The sequence below is a fragment of the Homo sapiens genome, chromosome 2, assembly GCF_000001405.40.
Source record: "Homo sapiens chromosome 2, GRCh38.p14 Primary Assembly".
NCBI classification, from domain to species: domain Eukaryota; kingdom Metazoa; phylum Chordata; class Mammalia; order Primates; family Hominidae; genus Homo; species Homo sapiens.
Genome location: NC_000002.12, coordinates 236,397,019 through 236,416,487, shown reverse-complemented (window position 1 = coordinate 236,416,487; position 19,469 = coordinate 236,397,019). Strand labels below are relative to the sequence as shown.

The 19,469-nt window shown below is 46.5% G+C and overlaps 1 protein-coding gene and 1 pseudogene across 10 annotated transcripts in view; both read left to right on the top strand.

Annotated features, from left to right (window-relative positions):
* DRC11 (dynein regulatory complex subunit 11) overlaps positions 1–19,469 on the top strand; it is a 200,792-nt gene that overhangs the window by 90,989 nt on the left and 90,334 nt on the right. For all 10 annotated transcript variants that reach the window (XR_007081589.1, NR_073043.2, NM_001270584.2 and 7 more), the window contains one exon: positions 17,000–17,075. Coding sequence is in view for 8 of the 10 variants with exons in the window: in NM_001270584.2 (NP_001257513.1) it covers positions 17,000–17,075 (76 nt within the window). In the remaining 2 variants the exon portion in view is untranslated. The remainder of the gene's footprint in view (positions 1–16,999; positions 17,076–19,469) is intronic.
* On the top strand, positions 7,385–8,698 carry RPL3P5 (ribosomal protein L3 pseudogene 5; annotated as a pseudogene).

The window sequence follows — 19,469 nt, the reverse complement described above, 5'->3', positions numbered from 1 at the left end:
CACAACCCAATTCACTGGCAGTAGATGCTGAGTTGGGCCCCTTGGATACCCCTTTCAGGACCAAGGCACTCAAGCACCTGGCTCCCCACATGACAGTGCTGACACTCACAGCTAAATCCCACCCCAGGAATTGCTCCAGTCTAAGGGAGCCACTACAGGCGAGGTTACACCACTTCTGGGGCAGCTGCATCCAAGGACAGTCACGTGATAGTACCAAAGCCCAGCCCCCTCACCTTGCCTGGACAACTCCAAGGGTTCTCCCAGCTTCTGTTGCTCCCTTTGGGATTAGCTGATAGCTCTCTTGCAATTGCATCATAACTTAGCTTCTCCCTCTGCCCAGGGCTGCTTCCCTCCCTCTCTTCCTTCTGGGTGGTGTTCCCAGTAGACCACCTACATCCATCTCCATCTGAGTGTTTCCAGGGAACCCGATCTGGGAGACCACCTAGGGCCCTATTGTTCTGCCTATACCCCAGAAGTTCTAGCTTGTTCTGGAAAAAAAAAGCCCCCTGAATACAGTTAATTTTAAAAATCATACTCTTACTCTGCGAGACAATTTTGAAGAAGTGCCTAAGAATAAAGAGAATTGGAAGCATTCCAATTTTATTCTAAGAATCTCTTCCTCTAAATATGCACAAGGGAGTTTTATACTTGCAAATTAAAAATTCGCTGTTAGTGAAGCTTGTTCCGTGTAAATCTGAAATTACCAGCTACACAATCTGGTCTTTGTTGGGTGAAAGTATTTTATTAACTAGCTATTAAAGAGTCACTTAACGATGAACAGTTTTGAACAAAAAGCAAAGTTTAAGAACATCAGCATTTATGAAATGCTTGCAAATGAAGGGGAAACGCCTTCAGAATCAGAAATGAAGTTTTTCATGAAAAATGCAGATCTGCATAGTGACAATGTGATTATTAAAAGAAGAAATGGTCATCTCTAATAAAAATTGATATATTTAAGTTATGCTGCTACCCTTTCCAGAGACTTTTAAAAGTCTTACTCTGGTATCAACCCTAGAGTACCTCAAACCATTCCTGAGACCAGTTATTCAAATCCTTTTGTGAGAACTGACATTTTGACTTATAGCAAAAGGCACTATAATTCCTCATGGTTAGAGGGCAAGGGAGAAGAGAGAGGAAAATAGTTGTGTCTAACTTGTCTGGACGCTGGCTTATCCCAGCCCTCACAGGGCCCAGCTGCATGATTGTTCTTTCACTATTTTGACAAGACCACATATCAATTGCCAGTTCTATATGCATAATTGGAAAACTTGAAAAGACCTCATGTTTTAATTGAAATATTAATATGTTAGTTGAAATATTCAGATAGGATTAGATAGGATAATCCTATCTGAATATTTCAACTAACCTCTTTAAATGGAAAATAGGTTATTTTCTGAATGTCACACAGGTAGAGAGCTAAAAGCTTTACATGTCCATGAGATCGTTACAAATTAACATAAATATGAAAAAATCTATTATAAGTGCAAAAAAAGTCATGAGAACTGCTGAATGTTTCGGTTGAATTTCACAATGAATCAGTGTTTCTGTGTGAATTTCCAATTTATTGCAGGGCTAGTGGAGTGAGAAAGAGCAGGATTGTCATGGTGGATCTCTGTAATTGTACACAAGACCATTTTAGAATAAAATATCTTGTGATTAATAATCTTGCCTGCATTTGATCTTTTCATCAAGAAACTTGGTGAAACAGTTTAATGTTTAAAATATGAACGTTCGCAGTTCCTTATTTGGATCCATCTGGAGCCCCTCCATACTGAGATACTGAAAGACAGAAGAAAACAGAACATTCTGGGATGTTCGTCTTCAGCTCAGGGCTAGTGGAAGAGAAAACACAAAAGCACAGTAGTCCTGCCCAGTGGCTCACACCTGTAATCCCAGCACTTTGGGAGGCTTGGTCAGGAGGATCACTTGAGGCCAGGAGTTGGCACCCAGCCTGGGCAACACAGCGAGACCCCATCTGTACTAAAAACAAAAAAAGAAGCGCAATAAATACATTCAAATAAGAGGTTCTAAAAATTAGTCTCTCATTCATAGGCAACAAAATGAATCTCTAGGTAAACTTCACACCTTACACAAGTATTAAACTCAAAATCGGTCATGGACTTAAACATAAAACTATGAAGCTTTGAGATTAAAACATAGGAAAAACATCCTCAGAATCTAGAGCTAGGCAAAGAGGTCTTAGACTGGACACCAGAAGCAGGATCCATAAAAGGGAAAATGTATAAATTGGGCCTCATCAAAATCAGAAACTGTTGCTCTCTGAAAGACCCAGTGAAGAGGATGAAAAAAAAGCTATGGATGGGAGAAAATATTTGCAAACTATCTATCTGAAAAGGATTAGCACCTAGAATATATACAGAACTCTCAAAAAAAATAGTCTTTCTTTTGAGTTCTCAGTTTTAAATCCAGAATTGTTGTGGACTGCAGTTAAGGAATGCTCTGTGGAAAGCACTTTAACAGAAGACAATGCTAGTGCCAGGAGGACATTTTCTGCTAACTGATAGCAGTCCTGCAAAGGTGCTTTCAATACCAAAGTAATCGCCTTTGTCTCACAGTTGTGTGGCCCTCACATTGGCTTTAGAAACAAAAGTCGCAGTAATAGAGCACTATGCAATCATCCTTACAACTGTTTCCTCTGTTATTTTTCAAGCCACATGTTAGACCATTTGGAATGATTTAAAGTGGTATTGACCTGTCATAACATGATCACATGAACATTAATGAGTCTTCTCTAAATGCACTCCAGCCTCAAAATGCTTTAACTTAGTGCTAACTTCTTCTGGAAAGACCCTTGGACCTTTATACAGCACAATTCACATTGAAAACATTTGTTTATCTGCAGTGCCAGCAGACCTAACTCTGACCACAGCTCCTCCTCTCCAATCCCTTGGCCCAAAGAGGTGCTCCAAATTGAACCATTAAGCCAACCACATTCTTAGGTTATTTTAGAACATTTCAAACCAAATTTTGCATGACTTTACAAAAATGGACAAGTGAATGTCATGCATTTCCAAAGGAAGTTATCAGGAATGAGGGTGCCATCAAGGAAATGTATGTCTGGAGCATCTTCTGTGCCCACTGAAATACAATAAGAGAAGAAGATGGAAAGAAGTGAGAGGTTGGCTTGTGGGTGACAGAGATAATAGAGTCCTTAGCCTAGGGAACAGGGACCCCATGGTTAAACACCCTGCAGTTGTTTGTAAACTTTCATGGGAAGGAACATTCTCTGGGGAAAAGGTGTGTGGACTTTCTTCATGTTTTCAAGAGGTCCCTTTTATAAAAAGCTCAAAAATCACTGCTTAGAGAAAGGATATATTTGGTTACACAGGCAAAGGGCCAATGGAGGCACTGCAGACTCAAAGGAGAGTGATGATCTTAGGCACCAGAGTGGCAGGGGAGGCTTCATGAGGGATATGGAATGGCAGGAGACTCTTTCAGGAGCCTACGCTCACAGCCCAAGTCTGCCCACATCTCCCCATCTCCACGGCAACCACCTGACCAAGAGGCATCATTGCCTCTCACAGCTGCAACTATACCAGCCTCCCAGCCAGTGCCCCCACCTCCTCTCCTGCCATTCTACAGCCTATTCCCCTACAGCAGCTAGAGTGACCCAAACTCTGATCGGCATCTCTGACAGCTCTTGGAACTCAAGAGCTATGCAGTAATTATTTTTGAAGACATGAATAAATGCTCAGATGAAGATCTGCCCTTGGGTGAAAGTACTGGATATAAAAAGATGAAATAGACGCAAGAGACATCTCGAAGGATGCAAGAGATACCACAAAGGATGACTTGCCTGGCTGACAGCGTGTGGAAGAAACAGGAGACCAAGGAATTGAAGTGAACTCCAGGTATCTTGAGTGGAACAGAGGTAAGATTAAGAACAGATGGACCGGCTGGCTTTAGAGCTATTGAGTCAAACCATTGTCTATGGTTCAACAGCTGGAAGTTCAGGACAAACTCAGGAGAGATAAAGACCAGTGGTGCGGATCAGGACATATCCCTGCACAGGAAAACTCTAGTTGAAGGTGGGGCACGGATGAGGTATAGGAAAATTCATGTGAATGGAGGCTGGAGAATCTGGATTACAGCCACATATTGAGGCAGCAGGAAGAGCTAAAACCAACTGGGGGATGGGAACAGCATGGAAGGCAGGAAGAAATCCAGCACCATGAACTTCCTATATAGTCTTCCAACTGGGAATTTCTGGAAGGATAAAAGGAAGGTTTTCTTTCTGCCTCCTGAGTCCCTCTGCCATGAGAAGTGAGAATTGGCTGGGCGCAGTGGCCCACGCCTATAATCCAGCACTTGGGGAGGCCATGATGGAAGGATCACTTGAATCCAGAAGTTCGAGACCAGCCTGGGCAACATAGGGAGACCCCCATCCCTACAAACAATTTTTTTTTCTTTTTTTTTTATTATTATACTTTAAGTTTTAGGGTACATATGCACAATGTGCAGGTTAGTTACATATGTATACATGTGGCATGCTGGTGCGCTGCACCCACTAACTCGTCATCTAGCATTAGGTATATCTCCCAATGCTATCCCTCCCCCCTCCCCCCACCCCACAACAGTCCCCAGAGTGTGATGTTCCCCTTCCTCTGTCCATGTGTTCTCATTGTTCAATTCCCACCTATGAGTGAGAATATGCGGTGTTTGGTTTTTTGTTCTTGCGATAGTTTACTGAGAATGATGATTTCCAATTTCATCCATGTCCCTACAAAGGACATGAACTCATCATTTTTTATGGCTGCATAGTATTCCATGGTGTATATGTGCCACATTTTCTTAATCCAGTCTATCATTGTTGGACATTTGGGTTGGTTCCAAGTCTTTGCTATTGTGAATAATGCCACAATAAACATACATGTGCATGTGTCTTTATAGCAGCATGATTTATAATCCTTTGGGTATATACCCAGTAATGGGATGGCTGGGTCAAATGGTATTTCTAGTTCTAGATCCCTGAGAAATTGCCACACTGACTTCCACAATGGTTGAACTAGTTTACAGTCCCACCAACAGTGTAAAAGTGTTCCTATTTCTCCACATCCTCTCCAGCACCTGTTGTTGCCTGACTTTTTAATGATTGCCATTCTAACTGGTGTGAGATGGTATCTCATTGTGGTTTTGATTTGCATTTCTCTGATGGCCAGTGATGCTGAGCATTTTTTCATGTGTTTTTTGGCTGCATAAATGTCTTCTTTTGAGAAGTGTCTGTTCATGTCCTTCACCGACTTTTTGATGGGGTTGTTTGTTTTTTCTTGTAAATTTGTTTGAGTTCATTGTAGATTCTGGATATTAGCCCTTTGTCAGATGAGTAGGTTGCGAAAATTTTCTCCCATTTTGTAGGTTGCCTGTTCACTCTGGTGGTAGTTTCTTTTGCTGTGCAGAAGCTCTTTAGTTTAATTAGATCCCATTTGTCAATTTTGGCTTTGGTTGCCATTGCTTTTGGTGTTTTAGACATGAAGTCCTTGCCCATGCCTATGTCCTGAATGGTAATGCCTAGGTTTTCTTCTAGGGTTTTTATGGTTTTAGATCTAACGTTTAAGTCTTTAATCCATCTTGAATTGATTTTTGTATAAGGTGTAAGGAAGGGATCCAGTTTCAGCTTTCTACATATGGCTAGCCAGTTTTCCCAGCACCATTTATTAAAAAGGGAATCCTTTCCCCATTGCTTGTTTTTCTCAGGTTTGTCAAAGATCAGATAGTTGTAGATATGTGGCATTATTTCTGAGGGCTCTGTTCTGTTCCATTGATCTATGTCTCTGTTTTGGTACCAGTACCATGCTGTTTTGGTTACTGTAGCCTTGTAGTGTAGTTTGAAGTCAGGTAGTGTGATGCCTCCAGCTTTGTTCTTTTGGCTTAGGATTGACTTGGCGATGCGGGCTCTTTTTTGGTTCCATATGAACTTTAAAGTAGTTTTTTCCAATTCTGTGAAGAAAGTCATTGGTAGCTTGATGGGGATGGCATTGAATCTGTAAATTACCTTGGGCAGTATGGCCATTTTCACGATATTGATTCTTCCTACCCATGAGCATGGAATGTTCTTCCATTTGTTTGCATCCTCTTTTATTTCCTTGAGCAGTGGTTGAAATGGATAAATTCCTCGACACATACACTCTCCCAAGACTAAACCAGGAAGAAGTTGAATCTCTGAATAGACCAATAACAGGAGCTGAAATTGTGGCAATAATCAATAGCTTACCAACCAAAAAGAGTCCAGGACCAGATGGATTCACAGCCGAATTCTACCAGAGGTACAAGGAGGAGCTGGTACCATTCCTTCTGAAACTATTCCAATCAATAGAAAAAGAGGGAATCCTCCCTAACTCATTTTATGAGGCCAGCATCATCCTGATACCAAAGCCGGGCAGAGACACAACCAAAAAAGAGAATTTTAGACCAATATCCTTGATGAACATTGATGCAAAAATCCTCAATAAAATGCTGGCAAACCGAATCCAGCAGCACATCAAAAAGCTTATCCAGCATGATCAAGTGGGTTTCATCCCTGGAATGCAAGGCTGGTTCAATATACACAAATCAATAAATGTAATCCATCATATAAACAGAACCAAAGACAAAAACCACATGATTATCTCAATAGATGCAGAAAAGGCCTTTGACAAAATTCAGCAACCCTTCATGCTAAAAACTCTCAATAAATTAGGTATTGATGGGACGTATTTCAAAATAATAAGGGCTATCTATGACAAACCCACAGCCAATATCATACTGAATGGGCAAAAACTGGAAGCATTCCCTTTGAAAACGGGCACAAGACAGGGATGCCCTCTCTCACCACTCCTATTCAACATAGTATTGGAAGTTCTGGCCAGGGCAATCAGGCAGGAGAAGGAAATAAAGGGTATTCAATTAGGAAAAGAGGAAGTCAAATTGTCCCTGTTTGCAGACGACATGATTGTATATCTAGAAAACCCCATTGTCTCAGCCCAAAATCTCTTTAAGCTGATAGGCAACTTCAGCAAAGTCTCAGGATACAAAATCAATGTACAAAAATCACAAGCATTCTTATACACCAACAACAGACAAACAGAGAGCCAAATCATGAGTGAACTCCCATTCACAATTGCTTCAAAGAGAATAAAATACCTAGGAATCCAACTTACAAGGGATGTGAAGGACCTCTTCAAGGAGAACTACAAACCTACAAACAATTTTTATAAAATTAGCCAGGCATGATGGTGTGTGCCTGTGGTCCCAGCTACTCAGGCAGCTGAAGCAGGAGGATCTCCTGAGCCTGGGAGGAAGGCTGCAGTGAGCTAGTATTGCACCACTGCACTCTAGCCTGGGCAACAGAGGGAGACTCTGTCTCAAAAAAAGAAAAAAAATTAGGCTCTACCAGCAAGATGTGATGGCGTGATGTCTCACAAGAAGTCCTCCACTCCCAGACATGGGTCCCTCGGCTTCCTGCCTCGGAAGTGCACAGCACGCATCGTGGGAAGGTGAAGAGCTGCCCTAAGGATGACCCTTCCAAGCCGGTCCACTTCGCAGCCTTCCTGGGATACAAGGTTGGCATGACCCACATCGTGCAAGAAGTCAACAGGCTAGGATCCAACGTGAACAAGAAGGAGGTGGTAGAGGCTGTGACTATTGTGGAGACACTGCCATGGTGGCTATGGGCATTGTGGGCTATGTGGAAACCCCTCAAACCTCAAGGCCTCCAGACCTTCAAGACCATCTTCGCTCAGTACATCAGCGATGAGTGCAAAAAGCACTTCTCTAACAACTGGCATAAATCTAAGAAGGAGGCCTTTACCAATTACTGCAAGAAATGGCAGAATATGGATGGCAAGAAGCAGCTGGAGCAGGACTTCAGCAGCATGAAGAAGCACTGCCAAGTCATCCATGTCACTGCCACACCCACATATACCTGCTTCCTCCACGCCAGAAGAAGGCCCCGCTGATGGAGATCCAGGTGAACAGAGGCACCGTGGCCAAGAAGCTGGACTGGGGCCGGGAGAGGCTAGAGCAGCCCATACCTGTGAACCAAGTGTTTGGGCAGGATGAGATGATTGACGTCTTCAAGGTGACCAAGGGCAAAGACTACAAAGGGGTCACAAGTCATTGACACACCAAGAAGCTACCCTGCAAGACCCACTGAGGCTTGCGCAAGGTGGCCTGGATTGGGGCATGGCATCCTGCCTGTGTGGCCTTCTCTGTGGCACGTGCTGGGCAGAAAGGCTACCATCACCGCACTGAGATCACAAGAAGATTGATCTCTAAGATCGGCCAGGGCTACCTTATCAAGGACGACAAACTGATCAAGAACAATGCCTCCACTGACCATGACCTTCCTGACAAGAATATCAACTCTCTGGGTGGCTTTGTCCCATATGGTGAAGTGACCAGTGGCTTTGTCATGCTGAAGGAATGTGTGGTGGGAACCAAGAAGTGAGTGCTCACCCTCCACAAGTCTTTGCTGGCTGAGACCAAACAGCGGGCTCTGGAGAAGACTGACCTTAAGTTCATTGACACCACTGCCAAGTTTGGCCATGGCTGCTCCCAGACCATGGAAGAGAAGAAAGTATTCATGGAAAATATTCATGAAACCACTCAAGAAAGACCAAATTGCAGTAGAAGACGGAGCTTAATGCCAGGAATAGATTTTGCAGCTGCTGAGGTCTCACTAAAAGTTATTTTCCACTGAAAAAAAAAAAATGAGGAGTGAAAACTAAGGCTATGATGGAGGCAGTGAGGAGGTTCTTTAAAGAGAGAGAGGATCACAGGGGGGAAATGATGCAGCAGAGGTGAGGAGAAGGCTTGAGAAGAAAGTGTAGTCAGGGCACTCCAGAGAAACAAAATCAATAGGAGAGCGATATATAAAAAGTACATGTGGCCCGTGTGTGTGTGTATATATAGATATCTTCTGTGCCCTTTTATATTTATATAGAGAAAGATTCATTCATTATAAGGTATTGGTTCCTTTGGTTATGGAGCCTGAGAAGTCCCACCATCTGCCGTCTACAAGAGGGGGCCCCAGGAGAGCTGGTGGTAGAGTTCAAAAGCCAGAGAGCTGAGGGCCCATGGTGTAGACTCCAGCCCAAGTCTGAGGACTGGAGAGCCAGTAACCAGCTGGCAGCTTGCATGGCCCATGTGAGAAATGTGGTTTATTTCTTACTACCGTACTCATAACCAAGAAGCTCTTTCCGACAAAAATTAACCCAGATACCATCAAAGAAACTTGTGACAAATGTATTTAGGACACAGCTGTACATTTTTAGACTTCCCACTGTAGATTCTCTCCTATCTCTTGTATTTCTTTTGTGGGGGAAAGAGTAGCACTCTGCAGCCCTCAAAGCCATGAGGAATGTTGATTCCCTAGTGCTGTCGCAAATGCATGAGCAGAAAGTAAAATGACGAGCTAAATGCAAGCTCAAAAATAGTGGAGATGTGGCTGGGCGCGGTGGCTCATGCCTGTAATCCCAGCACTTTGGGAGGCCGAGGCAGGCGGATCACGAGGTCAAGAGATTGAGACCATCCTGGCCAACATGGTGAAACCCCATCTCTACTAAATATACAAAAAATTAGCCAGGCGTGGTGGTGGGCGCCTGTAGTCCCAGCTACTTGGGAGGCTGAGGCAGGAGAATGGCATGAACCCGGGAGGCAGAGCTTGCAGTGAGCCGAGATTGTGCTACTGCACTCCAGCCTGGGCAACAGAGTGAAACTCCATCTCAAAAAAAAAAAAAATAGTGGAGATCCTTGATCTGTTTTTCAAGTTTAGTTGCATAAGCTATCACGTTGTTTGGTGCATATTAATTTTTAAATATAGTGTTCAGCCATTATAGTTTCTGGGTTGGTTTTCACTTCTGAATCTAGAGAAGGGGATTATTATTTCACTCTCAGATCAGTGGGAAATCGTCAGCCTCTTCAAAATCGCTGGTCGACCTCTCCCCCACCCCAGGATACGGACCCAGAGGGGAGGAGCAGGTAATCTGAAAGCCGCTGAGAACAGATGTATTTCAAAATATATAACCTCATTTCAAAAAATCTAACAGTTGCAGCCCTATTTGAATTTTTCCACAGCCCTACCAGTGTGAGATGTTAGCCATCCCTCAACAGCCTACTTCAGATGCACATATTTACCAATAGAAAATTTTCAACAAAACCTCCATGCATTTGAATCGCTCTTTAAGCCAGGCAGGAAATAATAGCAGTAGTTAACATTTGGGGAGGGCAAGAAGAAGGCGCACGGTTTATCTCTGACTGCCCTCCTAATTTCACAAAGATATTTTGATAACAAAGCCTCTTCTGGAAACATTTGCATTTGCATCTCTGCATCTCTCAGTATGTCCCATTGACTCTCAGTAAGAAACTTTAGAAACGTTCTCCATGTAGCATTTATCTGTGTTGTGTAAGGGACAAAGTTCACACAGTAGCCGGAAACTTACGAAAAATGGTCAGTTTCCATAAACCAGCTTTTTAAATATGCACTAGTCCCCCCTTATTCTCAGTTTCACTTTTCGCAGTTCCAGTTACCCACGGTCAAGTGTGACCCATAAGTATTAAATGGAAAATTCCTGAGTTTTGAATTGTGCACCATTCTTCGCAGTGTGAATGAAGTCTTACACCATCCTGTCCCATCCCACCATGGACGTGAATCATCCCTTTGTCCAGCATGTTCATGCTGTATACACTACCTGCCTGTTTCTGTATAGGAAAAAGTATAGTGTATGTAGTGGTTGGTACGATCCGAGGCTTCAGGTGTGCACTGGGGTCTTGGAATGTATCCTCCTTGGAGAAAGGAGGACTACTATCGTCTAAATCAAATCGAGAGGCCTCCATAAGTTTATTTTCACTTAACAACTGCTTTGTCCTGAGTGATTTATAACTGATTGGGCCATGAAGAGAAAGTGAGAGGCCGATGAGAAAGCAACTGTCTGCTCTAAAGGAAGCTTTCTGTGCGGTTGAGCATCTTAGCGGTACCCAGAGACCGGGCAGGTCAAGTCTCAGTACTACTAACTGTGATATTTGAGGAGCCCCAGAGAAAGCAAGGCCCAGAAAACTGGAGCCATGGAAATGGCTCAGTTTGCAAAAAAAGGCAAGAAAGTTGGATGCAACAAACCACAGATCATGGCATGCTGGTGTGGCCAAGCAGAGAAGGCAGATACTACAGTGACTCAACTCTGAGGTCGGTCTGCAGGTGAGAACGCACTTCTCCTCCCACCTGTTCATTATTTGTTCAGCCAGCAAGTGTGGAAAGCAATGGAGATGGAAAATGGCGGAGGCATGAATAAACACTCCCCTCCAGAAGCATGAAGTCACTTAGGTGGGCCAAATGTAAGAAATTTACATTTGTTGGGTGCCATGGTCTGAATTTTTGTGTTCACCCACCTACAAAAAATTCATACATTGAAAGCTAATCACCAATGTGGTGGTGTTAGGAGGTGGGGCCTCTGAGGGTGATTAGGTCCTGAGGGCAGAGCCCCTGTGATTGAGATTAGTGCCTTTGTGAAAGAGACCCCAGAGAGCTGCTTTGCCCCTTCCGCGGAGTGAAGACATGGCTAGAAGGTGCAGTCTCTGAAGCAGAGAGCAGCCCCCACCAGACACAGAATCTGCACCTTGATCTAGGACTTGCCAGTTTCCGGAACTGTGAAAAATGCATTTCTTTTGTTTATAAGGCACTTAGTGTATACTATTTTCTTATAGCAGCCTGAGCCGGTCAAGTCATTACGAATAAACACCTAAAAACCATTCATATAATTTCAAAGCAGGAGATATCTGTCTACATGGTATATGCATTAAAAAGATAGGAGGACTTTGTTAACTCCAGGCCCATGGTGTGCTGGGAATGTCCAGACAGTGGCATAACTGCAGGCCACCTTCACATGCCGCAAAGGCCAAGGAGGTTACCGGCCGTGGCTCCACCATGACCATTAAACCAGCACCGTTGCTTGACTGGGAGCCTGGGTAGCTAGAACAGTCCACAGAAGATGGCCAGGAGGGCGAATAATCTGGAAATCTCTTTTGAGCGATGGGGATAGGAGTCAGGAAGGCTTCATCTGGAGCAGACTTAGGGCATGAAGAGGGTGCAGACTCCCTGAGGCTCCAGGAACTGGGCCTCAGCTGATGGAAGGACAACTTCAATGAATCTATGGCCTTCAGTCTAGCTGCCTGGGGTGGTTTTAGGAAAAAACGACTCCCAATATCCACACACCTTGGAAGAAATTCTCACTTAATTGAGCATAATTGGTCTAGGGCAGAGCTGGGGCATTGGATTTTTTTTCTTTTTTCTTTCTTTTCTTTTCTTTTTCTTTTTCTTTTTTTTTTTTTTTTTTAACTCTCCATTGGGTTAAGTCAAAAAAGTTGTCTGACAGTGGAGTGGGCCACCCACCCTGTGTAGAGGAAGAGAGCATCAGAACTCGGGTCATGGCTAGCCTTCCTCACCTCAGGAAGTGGGCCAGAGTGTGCAAGGCCAGCCACAGTGGTGGGATGGGATCTGGGAAGGCGACCCCTGGTTTCTATTCGGGGAAACGTGTGTGTGACAGTTACAGGGAAGCCCTGGACCTGGGAACCACCTAGTAAAAGGCATCGGGGGAAGAGGGGCTGTGGTGTGTTGCAGTCGGGGCCCCGAGGCACAGCGAGCGAGGATCGGGGAGGCAGGAGGACTCAAGGATCTCAGAGGCAGGCCCTGTGCAGTTCTAGTATCTAGTGAGTCCCACCCTTAGTAGCTGCTCAGGAAAGGTTCACAGGTAAATAGGTAGGCTCATGCACTTTCATTTGTAAAAATCAAGATAAGGCCACAAAGTTAGGAAATGAAAAGCAAATAAAATGAAGTTCAGCCACACCAACTAAAGAAATATAATTTTTTTTAAATACCATGTTACACCTATTCATCCAGCAAAACTTTTAAGCCATAAACTATGATTCTGCTATAACAGATGGATATCACATATGCATGCAAACTAGCCTCCTCCCCACCCCTCAACCCCCAGTTCCAGCCAGAGTGATGTCCCAAGGGGCCATTCCCTTCACACCAGGCTCCTGGGTAGCTGCCCTGCTCATAAGCCAACTCCAAGCTCCCTGCAGCTCTTGGTCCTTTCAAGAGCCATCCTCTTTCTCTGTGTCTCCATCTCTGTCCCCCTGTCTCTCTTTTCCTCCCTCTTCTCTCTGCCTCTCTCTCTCTCCCGCCACTCCAGCCTCATGTCTGTCTGCCCAGCCCCACGCAGTCCTCACGGCTGCCGAACCTCCTTCAGCCATCCCTGTGAGACACAGCCTCCCCATCTGGACTTCACACATGCTGTTCCTTCTGCTGGAAACCCTTTGTCACACCTCAGTCTCCTTCCCTGGAGCCCTCCCCCTCCCCCTCCTCCTCTTCCTTGCCTTCATCCATCCCTAAGAGCACAGCCTCACCAGTGTAGGGGCTCCCAGAGACCAAACATAGAACAATCTGAGTATCCAAAACAAAAATGGCAATAATAGACAATAACATTGACGAAAAAGTAATAAAGATGTATGACTCCTTAGTGATACCTGGAAAGAGAGAGACAGACAGACAGACAGATGATAAATAATATATCTGAGGATAAATATACTAATTAAAGTGATTTTAAATTTCTCTTTCGTTCATGAATTCTCCCTCTTTCCTCCCAGGCCTTGCTTTATCCACTACTAGTCTTTTTCTTGCTGCTCTTGCAGGCTTTTCTCTAATGCCTGGGTCTCTTGGGAGCCAGGAATGGGGCGTAGCTAACCCAAGCCTTGTGTCGTAGGTGGGACTTTCTTACCAGAGAGCTTTGATTTAGTGTGCGCTCTGGAAGGTGGGTGAGCTGTGTCATAGGCTTTGGGCCCCCTGGTGTTTCTGGGTCCAGGTTCTCTCCCTGGTTCCCCGCTGGCTGCAGCTCCCCCTGCATGGTTTATGGGCTGCGGTTCCAGGCAAGCCTGCCATGCCCCCCCACCCCATGAAGTGAGAGTCCTCTCCCGAGCACCCCGGGCCTCCCCTGAAGCTCTTGTGATCCCATTTCCTGCGTCTTCCTTGCTTCCTGGTGACCTGAGCAAATGCAAAGCTGAAAGACACAGTGGACTCAAAGCAAAATGCAAAGCTGAAAAATGCAAAGCTGAAATGCAAAGCTGAAAAAAGACGTGGTGGATTCACAGGGGAATAGACCACAGATGAGAGTCAGCAGGGGCAGGAGGTGTGTCCTCTGAGTGAGCTGGTAACCCGTGGTCTCAGGGGGCTGTGGGAAGCCCCTGGGGACACTTGAGCCAGGAGGTGACTTGATCAGAGCTACAGTTGCCTCAGAAAGTAACTGAGGCAACCAAGTGTGCCTTTGCTCAGGGTGTAACCCAGCACTGTCTTGGGAGCAAGAGCCGCTGCCAGCCCTGAGCTGGGGAGGATTCCAGGAAGCCCTGGCTTTCCCAGCCACCTGGGGCACGCACTGGGGAGAGTCCAATGGCTCCACACCCAGCCTCTTTTATTCCGATGGTTGTGTTGTATTCTCATGTGTATCGGGAAACCAGTGTATCCACTATGGTTTCACCTCAGCAATAGAGAGTGCCTCTTTAAAGAACATAAGTTTAAGTGAGTCTTTAAAGAAATGATGGTTCTGCTGGTCAGGGATTCTCAGATCTGGCAAAAATCACGAGGGATGCAGTGAAGTAGCGTGACAGTGGAGACATTTTCATCAACCCCAAGGAGACCCCGTACCCATTAAACAGTCCCTCCCCTTCCCCCCTCTCTTCCCCGCACCAACCCCCTGGCACCACTGATCTGCTTTCTGTCCCTGAGTTTATCTGTTTTCATATAAACGGGATCATACACTGTGAGGCCTTTTGGTTCTGACTTCACGCTCTCAGCCTAGGTCTTCACGCTTCCTCCGCTCCGTAGCCCGTGTCTGTGTTCGCTCCTTTCTGTGGGTGAGTTCAACATTTCATTGTATGGAAATACCACATTGTATTTACACATTTATCCATGGATTGAGCCTATACTTTCCCTCTTCTTGTTTCATCCAGCAAATGTCGCACACAGGCCAAGTGGCCAGGCCCCAGGGCTGGCGGGGTCCTTCCTGCCTGCTGTGTCTGGTGGGAAAAGCGGGCTGTTCTTAGGAAGTGACAATCCTGTCAAAAGGGCAGGAAGGCCATCAGAGAGGATTTCAGGAGGACGGGAGGTCTGTTCAGACTCTGAATTCATCAGAAAGTGTAGGACAAGGGTGGCCTTCCAAGCGGACAGGACAGCAGGGCAAAGAGCATGGCAGGTGCAGGGAGGGTGGCCTTGTCAGCATCTCTGCAGTGACGGCAGAGGCAGGAGGCGGCAAGGGCAAAGGCCCCAGAGGTGGGCGGGGGCACTCCTGAGGGACCACACCTGTGGGGGTTGTGTGTGGTCTGCTGAGGGGCTTGGACTGTGTCCTGTGGGGAACGGTGCCTCCCAGGAGCTCCAAGACAAATGCCTCTGTGGGGCTTCCAAGGAAGGAAGTCGTAAGGCCAGGTCTGCTGCAGACCCCTTCCAGCAGGAGAGAAGAGAGTGACCCTGCGTTAGCCAACCTTGGAGCAAGGGGCCAGGGCAGTGGGACTGGAGGCAGAAGCAGGGAGACCCCAGGAAAGCCTCCACGGCAGAACAGTGGGGTTTGGTGATTGCTTGGCCATGGGGAGAGAGAGGAGAAATACCTCTGGATCTGATGCATGGATACTACACAACCACGAGGGACTGTGGGGGCACCGTGTTCAGGCCACCGCATCCCGGAGCCCAACCCTGGAGCCCAGAAACGGAAGAGCCCATCAGGTGCCAGAGTCAGGGCGTGCTCTGGAAGCAGCCCAGGGGAGGCACGCCCGCGCCACCCAACTGCTGCCCCTCCTGTCACTGCATAGAGAGTACTGAGCCTGCTTCGGGAACCCGAGGACCAAATGGAGGCCAGCGTTGTTCCTTTCGCCCTCTCTAAGGGTAGCAATAGCCATGATAGTGGTCATCGGAAACCAGACTATTGAGGCAGTGTCAACATTATTGCAGAGAAACATCACATGAGGGTTTGCAGGGCCTAGCTCTCACTATTAGGCGCAGGTGAACCCTGGCGGCAGAGGGGCAGAGGGGGTGTTGTGCTGGGGCTCAGAGCAGAGCTATGGCCTGGGCTGGCGGCGGGTAGCACCGCAATCTCCCATCTTGGTGCACAGAGTCAGCAGCAGGAGCCAAGGATGGTGGCCAGGCTCTCTCTGCTGTGGGGGGCCCAGGGTAGGGAGGCTAGCTAGACTCTGGCTCCGGGAAGGAAGCAGGGCCCCAGAGTCAGGCTGCAGCTCCAGGCTCAAGGATGGGGCAGGTAGCGAGAGGAAGGAACAGCCCTGGTGCTAGAACTGGCAAGCAGCACAGCTCAGCAAAGGACTCGGAGTAGCTCCAAGGGCTGGTTACAGCAACGTGGAGGAGGGAGGCAGATGGACTCAGGCTAGGAACTCAGCCTTTAGAGCAAGGAAGGAGTGAGAGCATGAGAAGACAGGACCAGGCCGGGTGTGGTGGCTCAGGCCTATAATCCCAACACTGTGGGAGGCTGAGGGGGACAGATTGCCTGAGCTTAGGAGTTCAAGACCAGCCTGGGCAACATGGCAAAACCCCACCTCTACAGAAAAATTTAAAAATTAGCCAGGTGTGGTGGTGCACACCTGCAGTCCCAGCTACTGGGGAGGCTGAGGCAGGAGGATTGTTTAAGCCCCGTCTCAAAAAAAGAAAGAAAGAAAGAAAGTTTTTTAATCAAAAAAGAAGACAGGATCAAACTCGGGGCATGGGGTACCCCAGGGGAGGCCACTGAGAAGAGAAAGCCGGTATCAGCAGGGGATGCTTCGGTGAGCCTGGACCACCCATGCCTGGTCAGTGGACACAGCACTCCATACTTAGACGGGCCAGAGGGGCACTGCCCAGGGGGACCAGGACTGGGCCTGCGCGGCATGGACCCTCGTCACGGTTATCACAGCGTCTGCGTCTTTTGCTGCCCGGTCTTGCCTGAGATTAACGAAAATATTCTGCTTTGAACAGGAAGAAGACGAAAAATGGAAAATGTCACCAAGTCTTTTTCTTCCTGCAATGAAGGAAGGATGTAACGCATACAAAGGTCAGTTTAGGAGAACGTGCATGGTCACCAAGACAGCAGCACGTGCTGGGAACCCCATCACGGGAGGCTGCTGTATGCCACTCACAACCGAGACATTCTGCCTGTCTCTATTTTAAATTTCCTGGCCAGGCGAGGTGGCTTGCGCCTGTAATCCCAGCACTTTGGGAGGCCGAGGTGGGCAGATCACATGAGGTCAGGAGTTCAAGACCAGCCTGGCCAACATGGTGAAACCCCATCTCTTCAAAAATAAAAAAAATTAGCTGGGCGTAACAGCGGGAGCCTGTAATCCCAGCTACTCGGGAGGCTGAAGCAGGAGAATCACTTGAACCCAGGAGGCGGAGCTTGCAGTGAGCCGATATCACGCCATTGCACTCCAGCCTGGATGACAGAGCGAGACTCTGCCTCAAAAAAAAAAAAAAATTCCTTTTGGTGGCCTTAAGCATACAATTGGTTAAAAGGCAAGATGCATATAGGATGAGAAGATAGTCAAGACCTCCATCCTGTTTTTGAACCCCTAAGACTTCAGCTGAATGTTTTCATGCTAGTGGCAGGGAAGAAACATATTTTTAGATTGCTTAAATTAAGAAAATTGATACTGTATGTGTAGTCAAATGTCTTATTCCTATTAAACTAAGATGTGTGCCTCAATTCTGACACACGATTTTTCTGTCAGTTGTTCAGCCTGATGAGCATAGCTGTCATCTGGCTGGATCCGCAAGTGTAGGAACTGGTCTTTCAGATATTTGCATTTTAATTTCCTAGAACTATTACCGAACTCCTGTGGTTCTACTGTGCCCTCAAGATAAATCCAAACACAGTGACCTGCCAAGGTGACCTCAGTCATTAGTGCTAGTGTGGAAGTTTCTGAAAGTTGCAATCCGGATGTGAAGTGGAATCTTTCCAAATGGCAGTCATTCGTGGCCTCCTTCCCAACCTTGGTCTTCTCTGGATATTATTAACTTAATAGATGTATTTTTAAATTGACTCAGGGCTTTCACCTTAATAATTGCACCTTATCCTAAGCAACAATATGAATGTGGTCATAGGTTTGATATGCTAGTGATATAAGATAAAAATGTCTGTGTGCCACTGAAAATTCTCTTACATACCACTAGTGGCAAGGGCACCCCACTGCATGAGATGCTGAACTAAAGGGGAACCCTGGGGGACACGATGACACTGGCAGGATTTGGCAACTCAATCCATTTTCACTGGGAAGAAAGGAGGTCAAAAGGGGAAACTAACATTTATTAAGTACCTAAGACGTGCAAGGCTTGGAGTTTTTCCATGCCCATCTCATTTAATATTCACAACAACTGGGGGAGGTAAATGTTGCTCTCCTCGTATGGGCAGGTACTGGTAGAAGCCCCGCTGTCATCCAAGCTTAAGAATCCATCAACTCCTTAATGGTGCAGAGCAGTCACTATCAAAAACACCTTTTCACTTGCATATTCCTTCAACAAACATTCAGCATTTCCAGGGTGTCAGGTGCAGTGCTAGCCCAGAGATATAAAGGTAACACCTGCCAACAATGAGCTTATATGTTGGGGATTACAGTGGTGGGATGGGGTGGAGATAGTGGCATAAACTGAGTAGTTTCTGTAAGTTCGGATGACAGTAACAACATCCAGTGGGTCCTGCTGGGAGTTACTGTCATCCACACAGTGGGGCCGTGGGCCTGGCTAGGGTCCACTGGCATCAGGTATGTGTCTGCAACAACATCCCATCTAAGACTCTGCTTTGCATATCATCATTTGGCCTTTACAGCCACCCTCACTGGTTTGGTACTGCATGTACCTATAAGATAACTCCCACACCTTCAAACATGCCAGGTAACTTACTAATTTGTTTTCTTCCGAAGAGCACCTTTGTGGAGCCCTCCGTCTCAGCTGCGATCCTTGAGCCTTCCTTGGCCTTTGCTGACTTCTTGCCTCTCCCTCATTTTGGTAGAGCTCATTCTCTAGGATGTCCCAAGAAGGGACTCACAGAGGGGAGTTGTGGCTGCCCTGGGCATCTGAAAGCTGTCCTTCACTTACACTCAGACAGTAGGTGCCCCAGGATGTGGAAAGCAGGGCTCCCTTCTCTTCTGATACGACTATGTAAAGACAATGAGGGCACAGGAAGAAAGGAGCCAGAGAGCAGAAGCCTGCTGTCCCATGGCAGGAAGTCAGGGGCTCATGTCTGACATGGATAAATCAAGAAGTAGCATATGAGCATGTTATATAGACACTAGGAAAAGAACACAGAAACCACCCGAAAGAGCTTCCACGAAACCAGATCGCTACACACGCCCCTGTGGCCACTGCGCTTCCTCCAGCAGGCTGGGCACGCTCCACCTCCGGCACTCATGCTTTCTGTTCCTCTGGCTCAGAATGCTTGTCCCTTTGGGCCTCA